Consider the following 23,040-nt stretch of genomic DNA (forward strand, 5'->3'; position numbering starts at 1 on the left):
GATGTCTAACTAACTTAAAGCCCAAGTTATGGGTTATGGTGTTGGATGTCCAGAATTCCCAGAATAAGATGCCATCTATTTGTGGATTAAATAATTCTAACATGGTTTTAAAAATATTTTTAAAATAATTATTCTGCCTAGGCTAGTCCAATCAAGAGTCTTTTAATTTTGAAAGAAATCTTTGGTCTAGAAAGAGCTCTGAGAGATGAAACCAATATGTGCCTGGAGTTTTGGGGGTTTTTTAGGTGGCTTTTTTTTTTTTTTTTTTTAAGATATTTTGATAAATGGTCAACTGTAATATGTGAAAAGTTTTAAGCAGGCCTACAGTTTTGTTCTGTAATTTTCTCTGCAGTTTCTTCACTTTAATAATATTAATGCTTCTTACTAGTTGAGCTGATAACCTTCTTCTCCCAAATGTTGCAGAGCTTTTAACCTCCTCTGATTAGAACCATTTCAGGAAGTAGCCTGCAAACATTGAAAAATATGTGAAATGTTAAGAGTAATCTTTTTTAGAGAGAGAGGTCTTTAATTCAGAATTTCTAAAGTGAATTTTTATATTTATCCATATAATTTTTATTTCTTTATTCAGTAGGATCATAATTAAATGCCAGGTGTTGGAAAAAGAACTTAAAGTCAATTGAAGGATACACAGAGAAGAATTTTACATACCAAGAAAAAATTATGTAGACACAAATGTTTTTAGTGTGTGATCTACTTGTAATGAATATTTTATATTACATTTCTCAAAAGCTAGGAATTAACCAAAATGTAAATATTTAATATCCTCAAATTCACTTGGAGAGAGTTTTTCTGTGATTCATAGCCAGAAATAGTAGACATGATTGGGTCTCAACATTTCTTGCTGTTTTAGTGCTTGGCTTAAAAATGTAATAAAAATTAAAACCCAGAATTAAAATTCATTCCTCAAAATTCAGTTGATTTCTAATTTTTTGTTGATTCCATTTGTGTTACATTTTATGGTGTAATTTTATGTACAAGCCAACATTGTTTTTGTTGCTGTATGTAGTCGGTGCTGTGACTTGTTTGTGCTCATCTCTGTTCTGTAGGCAACTTGCCACTCCCTACTGAATAAAGCTACAGTAAAAGAAAAAAAGGAAAACAAAAAATCAGTAAGTTTGGAGAACTTTTTATTAGCTGTTTCTTTCAAAGCAAAACAAAAATCTTTTGCTGTTTGTTAAGAATATCTTCACTTCAGCCTATTTGACCTTCACTGTAAAATCATTCTACTAATTCTGGCACAAAATAGCTTTCATTTCAATTAACCCTGGAATTAAGTTACATTGAAACATTCTCTGTGTTCCTTTGGTTTGATTTATCCCAAAGGCAATTTGTGGGCATTTGTTGCATTGGATATCCTTGGTCTAATTTTATTATTGTTACTTTTTAAATTATAAATGAATGCAAAGAAACTTAATTTCAAGGCCTTAGGAAACGCTGACTGTCTTCATTCTTGCTTCTTGTTTGAAGGTAATGTGAGTGGTTTCTTTTCCCAGAGATGACAGTGTTTCTTAATTGTTAGAAGTATATGGTGGGAAAGAGTCACTTTCTAAATCTTACCTAAAAGTTGCTAAATTTTATTTTTTTACTCTTCATATTTTTATCTAGGCAGTCTCAGGCATAATTTAGATATTTGTGCATAGATTATAGAAATTTTAATGGTAAAACTACTTTTACCTCAAAAAAATAAGAGGTAAATGATAAGATAGTACTTTTGAGATAAAAGAAAACTGAGTTCATATTTGTAGAAAAACACATCATTCTGCAAACATAATGTGAATATACTATCTGCTTCTATGAACTTGCCTTGATTTATTTAAAAGGAAGAAAATTATGAGAGTCGTAATTATTTTCTTCCAGTGAATGGAATTTGTCCAAAATATAATATGCATTCATTTTACATTTGCCATTATCTGTCACAGTGACTTATCAGGCTGAGCCCTGTCTTTGTTCATATAATCCAAATGATTGTAGAGTAAGATGTAAAGAAAACTAAGTAGGTAGTTTTCTTAAAAGGGTGTAATTTAGAATACAGTGTTCATCTGGTTTCATCTTTCATGCCTTATCTAAACTTTACATATAATAAAAGCTTTATGGCTGGGCACAGTGGCTCATACCTGTAATCCGGGCACTTTGGGAGACCAAGGTGGGAGTATCTCTTGAGCCCAAGAGTTAAAGACCAGCTTGGGCAACATAGCGAGTCGTCTCTACAAATAATTTTTTTTTTTTTTTAATTAGCCAGGCGTGGTGGTGTACTCCTGTAGTCCCAGCTACTCGGGAGGCTGAGGCAGGAGGATTGCTTGAGCCCAGGTGGTTGAGGCTGCAGTGAGCTGTGATTGTATCACTGTACTCCACCATGAGTGACAGAGTAAGACCCTGTCTCACAAAAAAAAAAAAAAAAAAAGAAAACGAAAAAGCTTTACATATAAGTTTCTAAGCTGTACATATAAATTATCTAAGCTTTAAATATAGATTTTTAAAATTCAAATCAAAATTTAAATTTATAGACATATACTTTTGTTGTGTCCATTGAAGATTTTATTTTTGATTATATTAAGTAAATTTGCCTAGCTATGATCAAATTGATTGGATTATAAAGACGTTTCTAATGCTTCAGCCTTCTAATTCTCAGCATATGTGAGTTTAACATAATGTACACCATCATTGTTGAAATTAATTTGCTGCTTCTAACACTCTTGTTCAGTGTTATACTAATGCCATTTTGTAGTGTATCACATAATTAAAATTCAGGCTTTCTGTGTTTCTCTAGAGCATGTTTTCTAGCCTTTCTAACACTGCTTTATTTATTAAGATTATGTCTAAAATTGTTTCTTGAAATGTTTTTTTTTCTACTAGAGTTATTTTCAAAAAATTTTTTTTTAATTTCTGGGTAACACCAAGTTTTGGAATGTATTTCTCAGCACAGGTAATACGAGCTCCTCATGGAAACAAGGGGAATCTAATTGGTAATTCGAGATATTTTAGAGTACATTCCAAAGTATGAAGACAGTATACTCATAAATTTAAAATGTTGTTTTATGGAGTTGTGTGCTTTAACAAAACCTAATGATATTTAAGAGCAAGCTGACTTTCTTTTTGGGTGTATATGTCATGGATTGGAATATGTAAAATATAGAGAGAAGATCTGGCTTCTAGTATATAGCTGTGTAGTCACATTACAAATAACTGTTTATTATTCTCAAATATATAGTGTATAATGAGGTTTACTTTGAAAGTTAACTGTCTGCCTAACTCAGGGAGAATGCAGTAACTAAGCATATATGGGTAGTAATGCTCTTGCTGAAGTGTAGTTTATGACTACATGCATTCGCGTTATGTAGTCAGCTTTTACCAAGGGAAGAAAGGGTACATTTGGCTGATAACTGGTCTCAACACACAGACTGGCCCAAGTTTGACCTTTTATGCAGAATGTCTTTTGGATCCAAATTAGATTTTTATGGATTAAAAAAAACACTAGAGCATGTATGTATTATGAGGTAAAATTACATTGATGTCAATTAGTGGTGAATGAAAAAAAAACAGTCCTTTTATAAGTTGACTTACGAAACTTGTTATGTAGCATTTTTATTGGTTTTTAAAATCAGTTTTTAGTTCCAAAATTATATTGATTCTGCCATCAGTGATACATATATTTATATGATACATGAGACAGTATGTGTTCCTGAGGTGTCGATATTTTGGGTTTTGACATGAATTATTTTTAAAGATGTGGAAGATGGTAAAAGTGTAGTACTTTTCATAAAGTTTACAATATGCTTTTGGGAAATCACTCAGTTTTTCATTAAATTCTGAGGCTGAGTACCATTAAATCAGGTGTAAATATGAGTCACATTTTAAAACTTCTTTGTCCTAGAGAAAACCGGTAAATAGCTACTTTCAAAGAAGTATTTTGTCTAATTGATGATAACCATTACAAATTTCCTTGTTCCTTCTCCACTCCCAGTGCTTCATTTTACTAGCATAAAAAATAAAACAGTATTTTGAAAGCTCTCCATGTGTTTCACAGCAGGTTAACATTTTATAAACTAACTGGTTCTTTGAAAATTAAACTATGGGTTTTAGTTTTGTAAAAACTTTTAGAATTTTAATGAGTTAAACGTATGAGATGCTAATTCTTTTAAAATAATCTATTTTAAAATAATTATAAAGCAGTTTTTAATCCTTTTCCCTCCTGCTAACTCACTCCTTAAAGGCTTTAAAATGTTATAGGTTTCTTTTGTCTGCCTTTATTTATTTATTTATTTATTTATTTTGAGACAGTCTCTCTGTCACCCAGATTGGAGTGCAGTGGCACGATGGCTCACTGCAACCTCCACCTCCTGGGTTTAAGCGATTCTCCTGCCTTAGCCTTCCAAGTAGCTGGGATTACAGGTGTGGCTCCACCATGTCCAGCTAATTTTTGTATTTTTAGTAGAGATGGGGTTTTGCCATGTTGGCCAGGCTGGTTTCGAACTCCTAGCCTCAAGTGATCTGCCCGCCTCGGCCTCCCAGAGTGCTGGGATTACAGGCATGAGCCACCACGCCCAGCCAGAGAATTGTCTAAGATTAAAATTTGGGAGTTTTAGAAAACCACTCAGTAGCAATGATGGTCTATGAATATTCTAAAATTATGTGAAGAATTTTGTGTGTGTGAATGCATACATTCATTTTTCTAACCTTTATCAGATTTCAAAGAGGTTCCTCGTCCCCAGAAGGTTCAACACCGTACTGGAATAGTCAAAGCACTGGAATTTTTTCTTAATTTTACATCTTTCTATAGTTTTAGCTAAAACTTCTGTATCTAATTCTAAATGTATATATTTGAGCTAAAAATAAATGGTATTTAGGTTTTAAAGCCATTCTAATAAAGCAGCTATATTTAGTCACCTTCACCAGTTTCCCCTTATTTAAGGGTTAAGGTTGTTCTTCATGCAATAAACACTGTAACATAAAGAAAGCTTCCTGAACTATGTGTAGTGTAACTGAAGATGGAACTATATTAGTTACAACTGACCTCTTTTTATCACCTCTTACAAATATTTTCTCTAAAATCTAGTTTTTACTAACTTCCTGTTAGAGATTATAGAAAGCTATTTTGAGGTTATAAGCAGTGATAACACATTTAAAATGTGGACTGCATGAAGCACTACATTGAACAAGATGAAGTGAAATAATCCCCATTTTTTCCAGAGTTAATCTGGAGTCAGCCTGTCATAATTTGTGTCATAATTTCCTGTCATAAATTATGACAGGAAATATTTATTGAAGCATTGTGAAAAAAATAGCTACGTGATATTCCGCATGTAAATCTGGGTCCCCTCCCACCAATATCCTTTGAAATGAAGGTTTATCCTTGACATCACAGAATATTGAGTGGAATGCTACAGTTTTGTAGTCACTGCTACTTTAAACAGCAGTTTAGCCGCACTAAGCAAGAATAGCTGTAGAGATTAAAATGTTACATTAAGTGTTCTTTAAAAATGAACATATATAGTATATATAAAAATGTAAACTGCAAAATATAATTTTCATCTATGACATGATTTAAAGCAGGGGACTCTGGAAAGGGATGGGAGCTGAACCAGTTTTATAGCACTCTTCCCGAGCTAAGGTACCTTTTTATCTTAATGTAGAATGTTTTATAAAGGGAAAATCATCCATTTTAAATATTGGGTTCACATTGCTTTTCAGGCTGGACAACCATTTCTTGAGTTCTTAAATTATTTTTATTTGACAGAATTATAAATTGAGGTAGACATAGGGGTTCTCTCTTCTGGTGAGATCCTTTTTTCTTTTAGGTCCCCAAGAATTCCCATCCCTCCATGGTTTAAATAATAGGTAGGTTCTTGTATTATAAAGGAAGCTGTGAAGAAAAGGCACTGGCAGTAACATTACTTGTAAGTAAGTTTTTTTTTTTCTCAGTAAGAATCTAATATTTTATTTTGTATATGGCAAGCATTTTTTTCTTAAATTCAATTGTAACTGGTACACAACAAAATGTAAATATGTACTATCAGGTATAGGATGTTTTGGGGGTGTGCTGTTGAAAATTTAGTTTCACGTTATAAAGTTGACCACACTTTCATGTCTGTTAATCTTAGTAAATTATGATCATCTTTGTGTGAAAAATTTGGTCTGCTTTCATTACTCATCAAACATGCAGTATAAGTGATGATACAGTGAAGATCTTTTTTCAGGTTTCTTCTACCCATCTCATCCATGAGGTTTTTCTTTCCTCTGAGATACCTTAATTGTACTTTAATATGATATAAGACTAGAATTGAGAGGAAACTTTATTTTCTCATGTTTTGGGAGAAGAAAAAAATAGAAATATGTCATTCATGAGGACTGATTGATTCAGAGTTTTTATGCAAAGTTTGACCTTTGAACTCTTTGTTTTCATGTCTTTATATTAATTCAAACCTTATACTCAATTCTCAACTCCTTGTTTTTAGGTGGTTAGCCAGCGTTTCCCTCAGAACAGCATCGGTGCAGTAGGAAGTGCCATGTTCCTCAGATTTATCAATCCTGCCATTGTCTCACCGTATGAAGCAGGGATTTTAGATAAAAAGCCACCACCTAGAATCGAAAGGGGCTTGAAGTTAATGTCAAAGGTGAATTATTTTGATAATCTAGCTATCTTAAATTCCCCTTCCAACTAAATTTTCAGCTTTTCTTACAGTACTTCCTCTTACATTTATATTTGAAATACCCTATGGTTTTCAGTTATGTGCTTTTGTTTTATTTGTTTATATTACAAAGGAATTCATTAGTTAGGTACCTGATGGACCTTATTTTCATGATAAAACATTTTATTATAGCAGATGTCTTGTGTTATGAAGATCATTTTTTGCGTAATCATTCTAGACATTCTGAAACAGACTAGAATGTAGACTATAGGATTTTTTATTTTAAAAGTCATTAAACATTTTTAATATGTATTTTTACATGTAAATATAATAATTATATTTGGGAAGGTTAGAAACACTACCTAAAATAATTTATAGAATGAGGAATGTTTGATTTTTAAGTACTAGCAGAAATTATATCAATGAGAAAATTCATGTTTTTAAAGAATGTCTTAATGTATAGACTTCATACAATAAATAATCTGATTATTTATAACCCTGTTTTATTGTGTAGATACTTCAGAGTATTGCCAATCATGTTCTCTTCACAAAAGAAGAACATATGCGGCCTTTCAATGATTTTGTGAAAAGCAACTTTGATGCAGCACGCAGGTAATTTTCTTGCCACTTACTCAGTTGCTCTGTTTGAATCAAATATTTTCGGTTTCACATAAATCCATGTACCTGTTTTACATGAAGTTCCTGTGTAAGTTTTTTTCTTTTCCTGCTCTAGGTCAAGACATAGCTTGTCTTATTTTATTTTACTATAAAAGACAGTCATGAAATAAATTAATATTTTTTATAATTTGGTAGTGATTTTCATATTTGAAAACCAAGAGGGATTTTTGACATGTCTAATTAAATAAAGGATTTGAGGATGGTACAATATGTGGACAAGGAAGAAGTAGGATTCTTTTTATTTAAAACTAAAACCAAATTGGTATCAATAATACATAACAATGTTTAATAAGGTTTTTTTGATGTTAGAGTATTTGTGATACTTAAATTTGGAAGTGTATCTAAACTAAAATGTTATTCTTTAAACCAAGTCAAACAAACACATAAGATTTTGTTTATGAGGAACTGAACTTTATGATTTTAGAAAACTTTTCTGCTAGATTTCTATAACTAGTTATTTCACTTTATTTCTCTGAGTTATTGGTCTATCTGTAAAGTAGGGATAAACTCTTTGCCTGAGTTGTTTTTAGAGAAAAAAATGAGATAATTCATAAGAAAGCGCTTTGTAAATTTATGTCTGGAATTCTGCTTTTCATGCAGTGTGAATCTAATTGATCCTCATCATCTAAGCTAGCCTTGTACAACTCTCTCTTCCAGTTTATCATCATTGTAGTTGTTACTGACTTTTTTTCTGTTAGAGAAATTGGAGTTGAAAAGGTATATTGCTGAATGACAAGCCATGTTGGAAAGAGAGTGAATGTCAGCATAGGATTCATATTCTGGCACTCTGTGTACCCATACAAAGTTAAAAGGATCAAAGTTTTAATCCTGGCTCTGACCTAGCAGGCTATATATCTTTGGGGAGGTCTTTCGTCTGGACCTTCATTTCCTTATCTGTAAAATACTAGCCTCTTTCCAAAGTTTCATCCATCTTAATTTTGTTGTTGTTTAACTTCAGAGCCTACTTTGAAGCTGAAGCCGGGTATCAGAAATGGAAAGCCAACTTTCTCCTTGTCCTTTTTGCTTTGTCTAATGTCAAGTCACATTGTGTGAACAAGCCCTCCATATTTGTAATCTTAGTTACTTCACAAAGTTACTTCTTATAAATTTAATTCAAACATAAGTCTGGGTGTATCTGGTGTTGAAAATTCTAATGACTTTGCATTTTTGAAGGTTTTTCCTTGATATAGCATCTGATTGTCCTACAAGTGATGCAGTAAATCATAGTCTTTCCTTCATAAGTGACGGCAATGTGCTTGCTTTACATCGTCTACTCTGGAACAATCAGGAGAAAATTGGGCAGTATCTTTCCAGCAACAGGTAAGATTTCCCAGTCATGGGGATAGTGAACACTCTCCGTTTAAATTTAGATTAATACAATTATTGGTCATGAATAGTGCTTTTTACTTTGCATCTTCTTGGACTAAGAATTATGGTTTAGAAAGAGAAAGATTCTTTTTTTCAAAAAAATACAAACAAAAGGTTAAGTCATATTAAATAATCAACAAACCTACCTAGGTTCCAGTGGTCATTATTATTATTTTTTTGTCAGGTTAAGAAATCACAGATTTGCTCTTTGGGTTTTTATGGCTTGCAGATTGTTATAGATCCAAAGAAGTTCAGATTAGCGTTGGCATTTGACTCTGAAGAACAGCCAATTCGTAGGAATTCAGTAATTAAAATATTGTCAGTGTTTTAATTCTATGATAAACTCATTCGTGATACTCTTAAGTATATGCAAATAAAGCTTTATATAGAAAATACCGGCCTGGCACAGTGGATTACACCTATAATCTCAGCACTTTGGGTGGCTGAGGCAGGCAGATCACCTGAGGTCAGGAGTTCGAGATCAGGCTGGCCAACATGGTGAAACCCTGTCTCTACGAAAAATACAAAAATTAGCTGGGCATGGTGGCAGGGGCCTGTAATCCCAGCTACTCGGGAGGCTGAGCCAGGAAAATCGCTTGAACCCAGGAGGCAGAGGTTGCAGTGATCCAAGATCGCACAATTGTACTCCAGCCTGGGCCACAAGAGCTAAACTCCATCTCAGAAATTAAAAAAAAAAAAAAAATACTTAAAAATCAAAATTATTAATTTGGGCATTGTTTCATTAGCTCTTATTAGTCTCTTGTGTAACATAAATTACTTGCTGTCCCATCTAGTTATATAAACTTGTAAAGGGACCAAATTCCTATGTATGAAGAGTTCCTTACAAAGGAAGAATGAGTCCAAATTATTTTTAAATGCCAATAAAAATGATTAGCACATTCACGGGAAAAGTAGTGGACTGTGAAGCTAAGGGTAAGCAATTGGGAGATGGGAGTTTAAATGACAGGGCATTTTAATCTTTTATGAATTATTAATGGATTGAAGTAGACATGGTCCTGAGGTCTTTTTGGTGCTGTTTACAAATCAGCTGACAGTAAAAGGAAAAGCAACCAGTTACAAGTTAAAGAAATGTGTAGTGCTAAATGTGAACTGCTAATTTTTTTTCTAAGTAGTTTGCTGTATCTAGGGATCATAAAGCTGTTGGAAGACGACCTTTTGATAAGATGGCAACACTTCTTGCATACCTGGGTCCTCCAGAGCACAAACCTGTGGCAGATACACACTGGTCCAGCCTTAACCTTACCAGTTCAAAGTTTGAGGAATTTATGACTAGGTAAAGTACAACCTTGAAATAGTTGATTGCTTTCTTTTTGGTTGAGAAGGAGAGTTTGCCACCAGGCCACTTGTTAGATATGATAGAAGACTATGAGGAAAGATGTATTTAATAATCACATTGCCATGTTTGGGGAATCCAACTATATATTATTTATATATATAGGGTGTGTTTTATTTTATATATTGATTGTCATAACAATAGTAACAAATCATATTTTATCATCTTGCTTTCATAAGTTTTCACATTTAATACTTACCAGGGAGTGAAGACAACATTATTTTCAAATTATAGTTAAGGAAAATGCAACTCAATGTGAATAATTGACTTGCCTAAGATTCCACACCTGATTCATAGGTCTTTTGGTTTTAAGTGCAGGACTTCTCTACTACACTATAACATTTTTCAGAACCCTCATAAAGGTTAATGGTTTTAAATTATTTCAGATTAAGGTTCAGAAAATATAGTATACTTCAGTATTGCTATAAAATTTCTGTGGACATTTGTTTGAATCCCATTTAGTGGGATTTAGTTTGTGAATGAAAAGATCCTCATTGTTAGACACTTACTCTGTGATGATACAGTGAGAGTAGTTTGCTGAATCTTTTAAAGTACCTTTCACAGGACTTTATGCTTAGTAAGTGCTCCTTCGTGTCTGTGATTTGAGTGCTATGTTCATAGTATGTTCCAAAACAGAATAAAACAGAATCTGATGATGAGAAGTTAAAGATTTGTATATAATATGCCTTGAATTGTAAGTGCCTGTTGTTAGTTGTATTACTTACAGGTCATGGTTTTGTACATATAACTCCAAACCATTGATACTGTTAAAAGAATATATGAATATATGAAAGAATGTATAAACATAAGAATGTATGGGTATATAGTGTCCTTTCCAAATTAATTTTTATTTTTAGCTCTACTAGATTTTTTTTAGTGTAACAAATGTTTATTCCTATGTAATTAAGGGCATATTTTCCATACAGACTATTCACATTACCTAATTGAAAATTATATACTACAAAAATATAATACTATTTTTAGGCCAGACATGGTGGCTAATACCTATAACCCCAACATTTTGAGAGGCCAAGGTGAGAGAATTGCTGGAGGCCAGGAGTTCAAGACCAGCCTGGGCAACATAGTGAGACCTTGTCTTTATTAGATAGATAGATAGATAGGTAGGTAGGTAGGTAGGTAGGTAGGTAGGTAGATAGATAGGTAGGTAGGTAGGTAGGTAGGTAGGTAGGTAGATAGATAGATAGATAAGATAAGATAAGATAAGATAGATAAGATAGATAGATTGGGCACAGTGGCTCATGCCTGTAATCCCAGCATTTTGGGAGGCCAAGGCAGGAGGATTGCTTGAGCCCAGGAGTTTGAGACCACCCTGGGCAACATAGCAGGACTCCATCTCTACAAATAATAAAATATTAACCAGGTGTGATGGTACGCACCTGTGGTCCCAGCTACCTGGGAGGCTGAGGTGGGAGGATTGCTTGAGGATGCAGTGAACTGTGATTGCACCAGTGCATTTCCAGCCTAGGTGACAGAATGAGACCTTGTCTATAAATAAAGAAATAAGTAAAAATATAAATAAGTAAAAAGAAATATAAGTAAATATAAATATAAATAAATATAAATATAAAAATGAATGAATCAAAACAGTTTTTAAATTTGACATCACTGAGGACATCCTAGCCATTTTTCTAGAAAAATATTTTTATTATTCCTTTTTTCTGAGATCCTACCTTCCCTTACAAAGCAATCTTTTGTGCTTTTGAAGATTAAGTAATCCAATATATATAATATACTTAGCATAGTATCTGGTACTTGTAAAGTAATTAATAAATGTTGGATCTTATTTTTGTTCTAAATTCCCACTGATGCTCTTGGAGACCCATTTTCTTTTTTTTAAAAAAAATGAAGGTAGCTTTATAATATTCTCAGTTATTTAAAAAATTATTAAATTACTTGATATAGAAATCTAAAGAAAGTTAAAAAAATTAAAAATTGTTTATCCTCCCTCTCAGAATACTTCACTTAACGTTTGGTGAATAGTCTCCCAGTCATTTATCTATGCACATGTACATTTGTTTCTCCTATCAAATGATATCTAGGTTGTTTCCATTAATATTTTTAAAATTCTGACCTGGTACCAGCAGCATGATGGGCTGAGCTAATGCAATCTCTTCCCAAGACATAAGGCTCATAGAAATACTAGGTGTAAAAGAAAATATGTGTACTTAAAAAAATTTAGGCCGAGTGCGGTGACTCACGCCTGTAATCCCAGCATTTTGGGAGGCCGAGGTGGGTAGATCACCTGAGGTCAGGAGTTCGAGGCAAGCCTGGCCAGCATGGCGAAACCCCATCTCTACTAAATAAATAAATATATATATATGAATTAGCCAGGTGTGGTGGTGGGCACTTGTAATCCCAGCTACTTGGGAGGCCAAGGCAGGAGAATCATTTGAACCCGGGAGGCAGAGGTTGCAGTGAGCCGAGATCGTGCCACTGCACTCCAGCCTGGTCAACAAGAGCAAAACTCCATCTCAAAAAAAAAAAAAAATTAAATTTATAGCTGAAGCTAGTTTCTAAGCAAATTACCTAGCATACAGTCAGTATAGACAGATAAATGGAAAATATGAAAGAGGTTAGGAGATGCAGAAGATAAAATGAGGAGGTTCAAAATATGTCTAGTAGGTGTTCCCTAGAAACTGAGCTCAGTGAGAATGGGAAGAAGTAATATTTGAAAGGCTAATGGATGTATGTTTTCTAGAGTTGATGAATGACATGAATCTTGAGGTTGAAGAAGCACACTGAGTCTTGAGCAAACTATATAAAAATTAAACCAGGCTTTAATACATATGGGAACATAATATATGCTAAAGCTGGTATTCAGAATCGAGATTAGGATGGACTTTCAATAAATGGTTTTGATAAAACTGAGTAATGATTTGGAAAAATATTTTCATACCATTTATGATAAACTTCCATAAATCAAAAAAAATGAGCAAAGCAAGGCCTTTTTCATCCATTCAAAATCCATAAACTAGAAAAGATTGATAAAATGAATTATTTAAAAAATCATAAACTTCTGTCTGGGACAAAAATGTCATGAGTAAAACCAATCCTATGGTTAATATTCTTGCCCAGTAGTTCTCTTAGAATAGTCCTAAAAGTGCTTTTGTGGTTCAAAGAGTAATACCTTGAAATTTTTGGTGCATGTTGCCAAATTACCCTTTAGAATGCCTGTTGCTTTTAAAATATTTTTTCATTTTAGTATTTTATTGTTTATCCAATTATAGACTTTTTTACATACTCAGTAGACAACATAAAGCCTCATAATTACTCTGTTATTTTTCTTTTAGGCATCAGGTACATGAAAAAGAAGAATTCAAGGCTTTGAAAACGTTAAGTATTTTCTACCAAGCTGGGACTTCCAAAGCTGGGAATCCTATTTTTTATTATGTTGCACGGAGGTAAGAAATACTATGTTTTGGGTCTCTTAACAGAATTTTTTAAATTATAGCAAATATAGAGAGATGGCAAGTTTGGTTTTTCCCAGTTGACTTAACAGGAATTGAAGACAAGTTTACTTGGGAGCATATAGCAGGGTAAATAGCCTGCGTTTCCTAAAATGATGGTCGGTATCTAGTAGCTGCTTTTCATACTACCCATTTCATATTGCTTACTCTGTCCTACATCATTTTTTAAAATACTGCCTGCAATGGATTAATTACCAAGAGTTAAAAACCCACAAAGAATCTTTTGTTTTCAAGTATATTCTGATTAAATAGTACTCACAACATGATAACTGGGAACTTTTTTTAAAGGAAGAAATAAAACTATAAGAGCCTATTTCTGAGAACTTTTAAAAATATGCTGTGTAAGACAGCATCAGGATGATTTAAAAAATAATTCAAAGGAGTGGTGAAAAATCTCTATGAAGATGGTGCAAGGGGTGGCCTGGAAAACGGTGCTTGTTCATGCTGCCCTCAGTTGAGGCTAGTTCCTAGAAAGCCTTTCTGGAAATGTTGTGAGCTCTTCCTTAATAATAGGTATGATGCTTGCCTTGCTTTCCCTACCATTGTCTTTTCTTTTTTGCTTCATTTTACCTTCCTTTTGAAAACTCAATCTGTGACGTTATTTGGTCAGTTTTACTTTTTCCCATTTACCATGACATACATTCATGGTAATTGAGCCTTAGAGACAACATGATACATAGAGAAACCACTGACTTTGGAATCTCAAGGACCATGTTTAGACCTAGTTCTGCTACTCATTAGTTATAGACTTAATCTTTACCAGTTTCCTGAATTTAACAGTATTTAACATCCATGACCATTAAGTTAGTAGACTTACATTGTTAGTCAGCTTGCTGGCCACAGGTGGCAGTGTGTAGGAAACAAATCAAGGTTGAGAAATAGTAGAGAGACGGTGAAGGAAGATCAGTGGAAGATGGGAAACTTGTCTAATAGGGTCATTCAGATAGCCTTAAGACCAAGAAGTCCAAAGGACTGGAGTATTAGGGAATCAAGAAAGTAAGAAAATTGCATTGAACCTCCCGCCACCCCCCTGCCCTTTAACAACTCTAAGTAACCCCTGCTCACCTTCCCATGAAAGGCCTCTCTCCAGCTCTCATCTCAGTTGCCATTTCTAAATTGCCTAAGATCATTTTAATTTTCGTTTGCGTTTGAGATGAACCATATTTGTATTCTAACCCCAACCTTTAATACAACCAGGATATTTTTACTTTTCCGTTGTTGTCTAAGTAAAAAGCAAACATTGGTAAGGGAGGTAGAAGATGTGTTTCCCCCTCTTCTTTAAAATCTTATTAGTTTACAAATAGCAAAGATTTCTGGAAAACAAAGCTGCGTTTTTTTTTTTCGGAATCAGAAACTGTTATATTTGTATTCCCTCTCTGTGGTGATCTAGAAAAAGCTAAAGGAAAGATTGGACCTGCTGCAGATCCCTTAGTGAGATTCAATCAGTTTGGTTTCCATGAAACCTATTGAGTCTTGTGGCCTGAGAATGCTAAGAATTCTCAGCTCTGCTGCTTATTAGCTGCATAATCTTTTTTTTTTTTTTGAAATGGAGTTTCACTCTTGTCACCCAGGCTGGAGTGCAATGGAGCGATCTCGGCTCACTGCAACCTCCACCTCCTGGCTTCAAGTGATTCTCCTGTCTTAGCCTCCCGAGTAGCTGGGATTGCAGACATGTAGAACCATGCGTGGCTGATTTTGTATTTTTAGTAGAGATGGGGTTTCACCATATTGGCCAGGCTGGTCTTGAACTCCTGACCTCAGGTGATCTGCCTGCCTCGGCCTCCCAAAGTGCTGGGAATTACAGGTGTGAGCCACTGCACCTGGCCTTAGCTGCATAATCTTAGATAAGTTTATTTTTCCAAATCTGTTGCTTCATATGTTAAAGCTGGGGTATGTGCTTATAAAAACTGTCTACCTCTCCTATAAAGTGTTTTGTGACCTATAAAGTTGTGTAAGGAGTAAATTTGAGATTTTCTTTTTTTCTTTCATTCTTTTTTTGGGGGATATGGCACTGTCAGTTTCAGATTTTCAATCCTTTTAGTTTCTTACTTAGACCTACTGGAGCTCCTCCTGACCTTCATTTTCACCTGGTGTGAAGCCTAGCTCCAAGACAGATGAGTACACAGTATATCAGAGCAGAGCATCCATTTACTCCATTATGAAGGTCTTGTCTGTCTGTATGCCGTCAGTTTTGTCAAAGAGCACTTGGGTTTGACTTCTCTTTTGATATTCCTGTGTTTCTGTGGCTTAGACTACTATGTATTAAGTAATGCTTTTTGAATTGTGGATTTTCTAATTTCCTTATCGATGGTCCACAGACGTTTCAGACTTGAAATGTCCAAAACTTAATTCAGTATATCTTCAAATCAACCTCCTCTTCACACCGTATTTCTGTTTCTCAGTACCATCATCATCCCTTCTAGTTCCCCATCTAGAGACCCTAATCATTTTAAATTCTTTCCTCTTATTGTCTTTCTCATTGTTAGTCACCAAATCTTGGTTTTACCTGTGAGATCCTGGGCAATCAGTTAAGTTGTTTTAGTTAGGCTTTTATTGCAAAGCAGTCATTTGTATTTTCTCAAGGATAGTTTTTAGGAAAAGCATGAATTAGCGCAGAGCCTACCCAGATATAGAGAACTAGATGGCTGTGGTGCTGGAACTGGCTATGCTCTTTGACTGTCTCTCGGTTTTGTGTTCAACTCTTCCTCATGATTTTCATCTTTCTGTATCCTTTCAGCTTTTGCCCCAGATAGTAACCCGTTCATTATCTCAGTACTGCACATCTGAAATTCCAGAAAGAAAATATGATTCAGCTAAAAAGCATCTCTGCTTGGCAGAAACTTTAATGTTAGGTTCTGGCCAGCCAGTTGATTACTGGCTGCCCCTATGTCCAGTATGTGCTCCTGGCCCAGCAGTCATGTGATTCAAAATGTGACCACTTGGCTGGGCGCGGTGGCTCATGCCTGTAATCCCAGCACTTTGGGAGGCTGAGGCGGGCAGATCATGAGGTCAGGAGATCAAGACCGTCCTGGCCAACATGATGAAACCCCATCTCTACTAAAACACAAAAAATTAGGCAGGCGTGGTGGCACGTGGCTGTAGTCCCAGCTACTCGGGAGGCTGAGGCAGGGGAATTGCTTGAACCCGGGAGGTGGAGGTTGCAGTGAACCAAGATTGCACCACTGCACTCCAGCCTGGTGACAGAGCAAGACTCTGTCTAAAAAAAAAAAAAAAAAAGTGACCACTTGGTGCTGTTTCTTCATCAGGGGCTGTTCTTAGGTATGTGTTTTAATTTTTTTTGTTTTGTTTTTGAGACAGGGTCTCACTCTGTTGTCTAGGCTGGAGTGCAGTGGCACTACCATGGCTCACTGCAGCCTCTAGCTCCCAGGCTCAAACAATCTTCCTGCCTCATACTCCCAAGTAGCTGGGACAACAGGTGTGTGCCACCACAGCTGGCTAATTTATTATTATTATTTTTTTTGTAGAGATGAGGTTTTGCTATGTTGCGCAGGCTGGGCTTGAACTCCTGGGCTCAAGCAATCCTCCTGCCTTGGCCTCCTAAAGTGCTGGAATTACAGATGTGAGCCACCACACCTGGCCTAATTTTTTTTTTTAGTTGGACCTTAATGGTCTAATATTACTATTACGTACCTTGGCAATGTCTTTCGAAACCATTTTCCCCCACTGCTTTGCTGGAACTCTGTGTCTTACCTATACTAATGTAGCATTATTCTCCTCCTCCTTCATCACCAGTTGACTACTTCTAGGTAATCTTAACATTTCTTCTGGAGCCAGTTTCCAGTAGAAAGCTTGTCTGTCCCATTGACTCCCTGTATAAAGTCCAAGTTCTGTAGTCAAACATGCAAGGTAATTTTGGCCTAATGTACTTTTCTAATCTTTTCCTTCTATTCCATCCAATATACTTATGCTCTTGCCCTGTGGTAAGGTAGCATAATACAAGGACATTGTTGCAACATTGTTTATATAGTGGCAACAAAAAGGAAAACAATAGAGTTGTGTTTCAAAAGGGGAATTGTTGAATAAATGATGATACATTTACATTAGGGAATAAGGCAATGTGTTAATTTTGCTTGTTACAAGTGACAGAAATGCAATTCAAATTTATGTGTGCCAAAAAGGAATTTATTGACTCATGTACCTAAGAAAATCAAGAGATGTATTAGTTTCTTGCATGACTAGCTGCAGAGCTTTAAACAGTATCATCTGCAGAACATCTGTCTTCTCTGGCTCTTAACTCTACTTTCTTTGTGTCGGTTTTATTCCCAAGCAGCTGCTCCCTAGCTGTGGCTGGTAATGGTTTGTGTTCTCCCAGCTTAACAATCCCAGAGGAAAAACACCTCTTTCCCAGTTTTGTGGTTTCAGCAAAAGTGGTTGGTCTTACTGGCCTGGTGTGAGTCACATGCCATTCCTAAGGCAGTCACTATGGCAAGGGGGATGGAATTTCTTGGTTATCTAGGCCTGGATCATGTGCCCCTTCCTGGAATGCAGTGGTAAAGCCAGCCCTATCCAAATTGCATGAACTAAAAGGAGGGCATGGGGGCAGGGTTTTCACAAAGGAAAATTGAATTGCTGTTACTAGAATGAGGCAAAATGGATACTGGGCAGGCAGAAGTAGCAGAAGTCCTCTACATCCAGCTTTAAAAAGGCCCAGAAAGATGACTCTGACACTTACCTTACAAGGTACACGACAGTGTGTGTGTGCACCTGCACATGTGTATGTGTAGACTGAGAAATGTATGAAAGTATACATATTAACTGTTCACATTGCTTATCTCAGAAGTGTGATTGGAGGAGATAGAGGACCAATTTAATATTTCTGTTATCTATCTCTATGTTGTTTGGCTTGCCAGGAGCATATATTGTTTTTGTAAGAATAATTAAAAATATAAAACCCCAAAGTGGCCGGGCAAGGTGGCTCACACCTGTAATCCCAGCACTTTGGGAGGCCAAGGCGGGGAAATCACTTGGGCTCAGGAGTTTGAGATCAGCTTGGGCAGCATGGTGAAACCCTGTCACCACGGAAGAATACAAAAATCAGCCGTACATTGTGGCATACACCTGTAGCCCCAGCTACTCAGGAGGCTGAGGTGGGAGGATCACTTGATCCTGGGAGGTCAAGACTGCATTGAGCCGAGATCACACCACTGTACTCCAGCCTGGGCAACAGAGTGAGGCCTTCTCTGAAAGAATACATTAAAACAAAACAAAACAAAAACCCCAAGTTACAAAGAAGAGTTTTCCTCTTAGGAATATTGTGATACCTGGCAATTGCTTTTTGGGTGGTAGTAGTAAATAATGATAATAGCTAACATTTCCTAAGTGCTTTCTCTGCATCAGGAAACTGTGCATATTACATAATTTCTCATTTAATCTACATAATAACCTTCTGAGATATTATTAACAATTAATTGACGTACGTATAAACTGAAACCCAAACATGGCTATCAGAATGATCTGGAACATTAAAACAAACATATCCCCAGCCCCCATTTCCAAACCAAAATCTCAGGGGCAGGGCCTTATTTATATATTTAACAGGCACTCCAAGTGTTTCATTTATTACTAAAGTTTGGGAATCTCACTGGGTCATGTACTTAATTCATGGTAGCACAACTAGTAAGAATCAGAATTCGGTTTCAAACCTAAGCCAAAGCTCTTAACAAATGCACTATTAATTACATGCTTATTACTATTATAATTGTATGCTTGGGTAAATCTTTGTAGATGAGCATGAAAACCTAACCAACAGTTATGAGATATATTACTCTGGGGAAAATAAGTTCTCGATTCCAGGCATCTGATTTACAAATGGTTTTTTGAAACATAAGACAAGAGTGTACTCAATATAAGATAATCTTGTCATTGGCGCAATATCATTATACATTACAAAGGTTAGCAGAATTGGCACCTTTTCTTAGCGAAATGACATATTACTATTAACACATTCATGAAATATGTTAATACAGATGAATGTGTTATTTTGTAGAGCGCTTTAGTTTATCAGATTAGCATTTTTTGTCTGTTTAATAAAAAATAAAATATAGACCGGGCATGGTGGCTCACACCTGTAATCTCAGCACTTTGGGAAGCCAAGGCGGGTAGATCCCCTGAAGTCAGGAGTTTGAGACCAGCGTGGCCAACATGGTGAAACCCCTCTACTAAAAATACAAAAAATTAATCGAGCGTGGTGGTGGGCATCTGTAATCCCAGCTACTCTGGGGGCTGAGGCAGGAGAATTGCTTGAACCCAGGAGGTGGAGGTTGCAGTGAGCTGAGGTCATGCCATTGCACTCCAGCCTGGGCAACAGGAGTGAAACTCTGTCTCAAAAAAATAAAAATAAAATACAAAAACAACTTCCCCCATACCACTCCTTATCCCACACCCCCATCCTCTATCCCCTATCCCCTATCCTTCATCTCTCTGTCACTGTTGCTCACTCGCTCTCTCACTCTCATGTGTGTGCTCTCTCTCACATACACCACACACACACACACACCCCACCTACATAATTTCTTCTCTTACACCTTTAATATAAATATCTGAGTTTTGGTTCAGTTTTGCAAACATTTAAAAGGCAAACATGGTATTTTGCTTGTTTCAGCATTTAATAAGGTAGTGCATACTTCTTTCATATGGAAGGAAAACATCATATTAAGTTAATATTTAAACGTACACAATTATAATTTGCAAAAAAAAATCAAGATGATAATTTCTTAAATAGTAAATTGAAATAAATGATATTTTCCTAGCATGCTTGTCATTCAGCAATAATAAGAAACTGAGATAAGAATGCAGGCAGTTGAAGTTCACTTCAGCCTGAGTGCAAGTATACACAAAACAGCAAAAATATTACATAGAAAATAAATGTTGTCCATTGGATTGAGTATGGTGCTACCATTTGTCACAGTGTTCATATTCATAGTTGTGGCTATCTTTGGGGTCACTGCTGTATTCAGACTTGTCTTGGAATTTGGAGTCATCTAGGGATTTGAGGTCATTTTGAGATTTGGGCTTGTCCCAGGATTGGTGCTACCATTTGTCACAGTATTCATATTCATAGTTGTGGCTCTTTGGGGTCACTGCTCTATTCAGACTTGTCTTGGAATTTGGAGTCATCTTGGGACTCGAGGTCATTTTGAGATCTGGGCTTATCCCAGGATTGGGGTTCATTCTGGGATTGGTGCTCTTCCTGGGATTAGGTCTGGTCCCGGGATTCAGGCTTGACGCAGGATTGGATACTGCCATAGAATTTGAGGTTGTTGATGTTGAAGTTTGTCCCCGGAATGTTAACAAACATGAAGAGCAGGCCAATCGGTGATAGCTTGAACATCATCCTCCTCTGTTTCACAATAATTATATAATTTTAATTGAACACTTGGATCACAAATAGGCAAGCATATATCCTTAATTGTGTTTATCAGTACATTTGTGTTATGTAAATGTTTGCTTTTTCACTATTAGTGAACAAATTAAAAGCTTCCCTTTCTTTGTTGTCAACATCTGCTGACACAAGACCTATTTTCTATTGAGGGCTACCAACTGAAGGCAAAAACAATCCCAAGACTGAAAAAGAGCTTAATTGGCATTTTTCTATTTAAAAAAGGAAAAAAATAAAACTCTAGACATTCAATGCAATAAATATGGGGGCTTGAGATCAGTATAGAGTAGGGTAGGGGCAAAGACTGAGAGGCAATTTGGGACAGTAGAGCAACAAAAGAAATAATGAAATAAATATTGGTATTTTCTTGATTTCTCATGACCTTTATTCCAACAATTTAAGGTTTTAGTTTAGGTCACAAATTAGGATATTACTTCTAAATATTTACCCAAAGACTAAAGAGGTTAAACCAAAGCATTTCCCCAGTGCTGGGATGAGGTTTTCTTCATTAACAACAACAACAACAACAATAACAAACTAGAGAAGTTCATAGTTTTAAGATTTAGAAATGAACAAAACCAACTCCTTCATTTTGCAAATGGGCTCAGACAAGGGGCATAACTTACCTGAGGGTGCATATCTAAAAATGACCCAAGCTAGAACTTAAGTCTGTGACTTAAAGCCCAAATTTTAACTGTAGAACTCTAACATATATATTAAAAGTTACATTTGGCTCTAATATGTAATTGAGAACATTTCAAATTAATGTTACCTTTTGATATTTTTCTTTGAAGAGTAAGAATTCAGTCTTTCTCCAGCGTCTATGGGGAATCTGATTTCTCACTCACTGCATGCTATTTAAATATAATTAGTGAGGAAGTCATGTGTTCTAAACTTGACCTGCCATTTGCTCTTTGGAAGTATCCAACTGAGTGTTTCCAGACAACTACATATAAACAGATAGACTTTGGCAGAGATTAAAGAATTCAAATAAAGTTCTAAAATCTGCTTGCTAATTTAAAGAATCCAGTGAATAGCATTTGTTATTCCTCTTACCATGTATACATTAATGAATTGCTTCACTGGATTGACTCTAACTAGATGAATTTACTATTTTGCCTGCTGTGATTATTATGATTTTAAACCAAGTAAGTGTATTAAAGGTGTCTGCGTTTTCCTTAGAACATCTGTACATATGTTTATAGGGCAGTTTCTACCCATGGTTATTTTGAAGTTTAAAAAATAATTCAGTAATACAACATTTCAGGTATTTAATTTTTGGTAAATAAAGTAACCTTAGAAAAGAAGTTAAACTTCATTAATATGAAACTTAAGAAAAGGATTACATATGAAAGTGATACTTTTTCATACTGAGTTTACAAACTTTTGTGTGTTTGTGTATGGTTTTTTAATGTATTAAACCAGTCACCTTGAAGTGCATAAAGTAAATTTTTTGAAGGAATTTTGTCTTTTGGTCAGCCGTTTTCCATGATAACTAGCATATAGGGAAATTGGGTTGTATTCTGCTAATGTTTTCATCATATTGGCCAGCACACTTTAAAAATTGCAGGACTGTGAACAATGGTGTTGACATACAAGGAAATTGCAACATAAATGGCAGAAGTACAAGCCAGTACATGTTCCTCACTTGTTTTACTGTGCTGTGAAGATCATTTTTCCCCTGAATGAATAAACCATGAATAGAACCATGCTTGGTAAATCTTATTTATATGGTACATATAATAACTTCACTTAACTGGAGGTTAATGTGGTCAGATCTAAGAAGTAAACAAACAAAAAAAAACTACTTGGCAACCAGAGTAGATATTATGAATCGGAGTACTGCAGTAATTTACAGGAGTTTGTCATTGTCCTCTCTCTGCTCACTTGCTCATTCTGTGGATTTCTTTGGGGGGTATATAGTTGGTAATAGTAATAGTAATAGTAATAGTAATAGTAATGTTTCGAACTTGAGCAAACTGTGACTTATTCTATTTTTCTAATCTTGACCTTTTGAGTACTACACTTACACAACTCTTTATTGATGCTTCAAACACCTCAGTCTCAACTTGTTTAAAATTCAGAAGTTAGTGTTTTCTCCTTCCT

At 35.4% G+C, this 23,040-nt stretch overlaps 1 protein-coding gene and 1 long non-coding RNA gene across 3 annotated transcripts in view; one reads left to right on the plus strand and one right to left on the minus strand.

Moving 5' to 3' along the window:
- NF1 (neurofibromin 1) overlaps positions 1-23,040 on the plus strand; it is a 282,699-nt gene that overhangs the window by 156,894 nt on the left and 102,765 nt on the right. Inside the window, exons 31-36 of one of the 2 annotated variants that reach the window (NM_001042492.3) lie at positions 1,068-1,130; positions 6,474-6,632; positions 7,162-7,259; positions 8,499-8,645; positions 9,841-9,987; positions 13,359-13,469. In NM_001042492.3, coding sequence (NP_001035957.1) covers positions 1,068-1,130; positions 6,474-6,632; positions 7,162-7,259; positions 8,499-8,645; positions 9,841-9,987; positions 13,359-13,469 — 725 coding nt within the window. The remainder of the gene's footprint in view (positions 1-1,067; positions 1,131-6,473; positions 6,633-7,161; positions 7,260-8,498; positions 8,646-9,840; positions 9,988-13,358; positions 13,470-23,040) is intronic. The other variant, NM_000267.4, reaches the window with a different exon arrangement.
- Positions 20,143-21,768, minus strand: LOC101927057 (uncharacterized). The gene is made up of 2 exons (XR_243788.5): positions 21,707-21,768; positions 20,143-20,895 (listed from the first exon to the last, which is right to left on the minus strand). It is a non-coding gene; the product is annotated as an uncharacterized LOC101927057 (long non-coding RNA).

This window comes from Homo sapiens, chromosome 17, assembly GCF_000001405.40.
Source record: "Homo sapiens chromosome 17, GRCh38.p14 Primary Assembly".
In the NCBI taxonomy this organism is placed as follows: domain Eukaryota; kingdom Metazoa; phylum Chordata; class Mammalia; order Primates; family Hominidae; genus Homo; species Homo sapiens.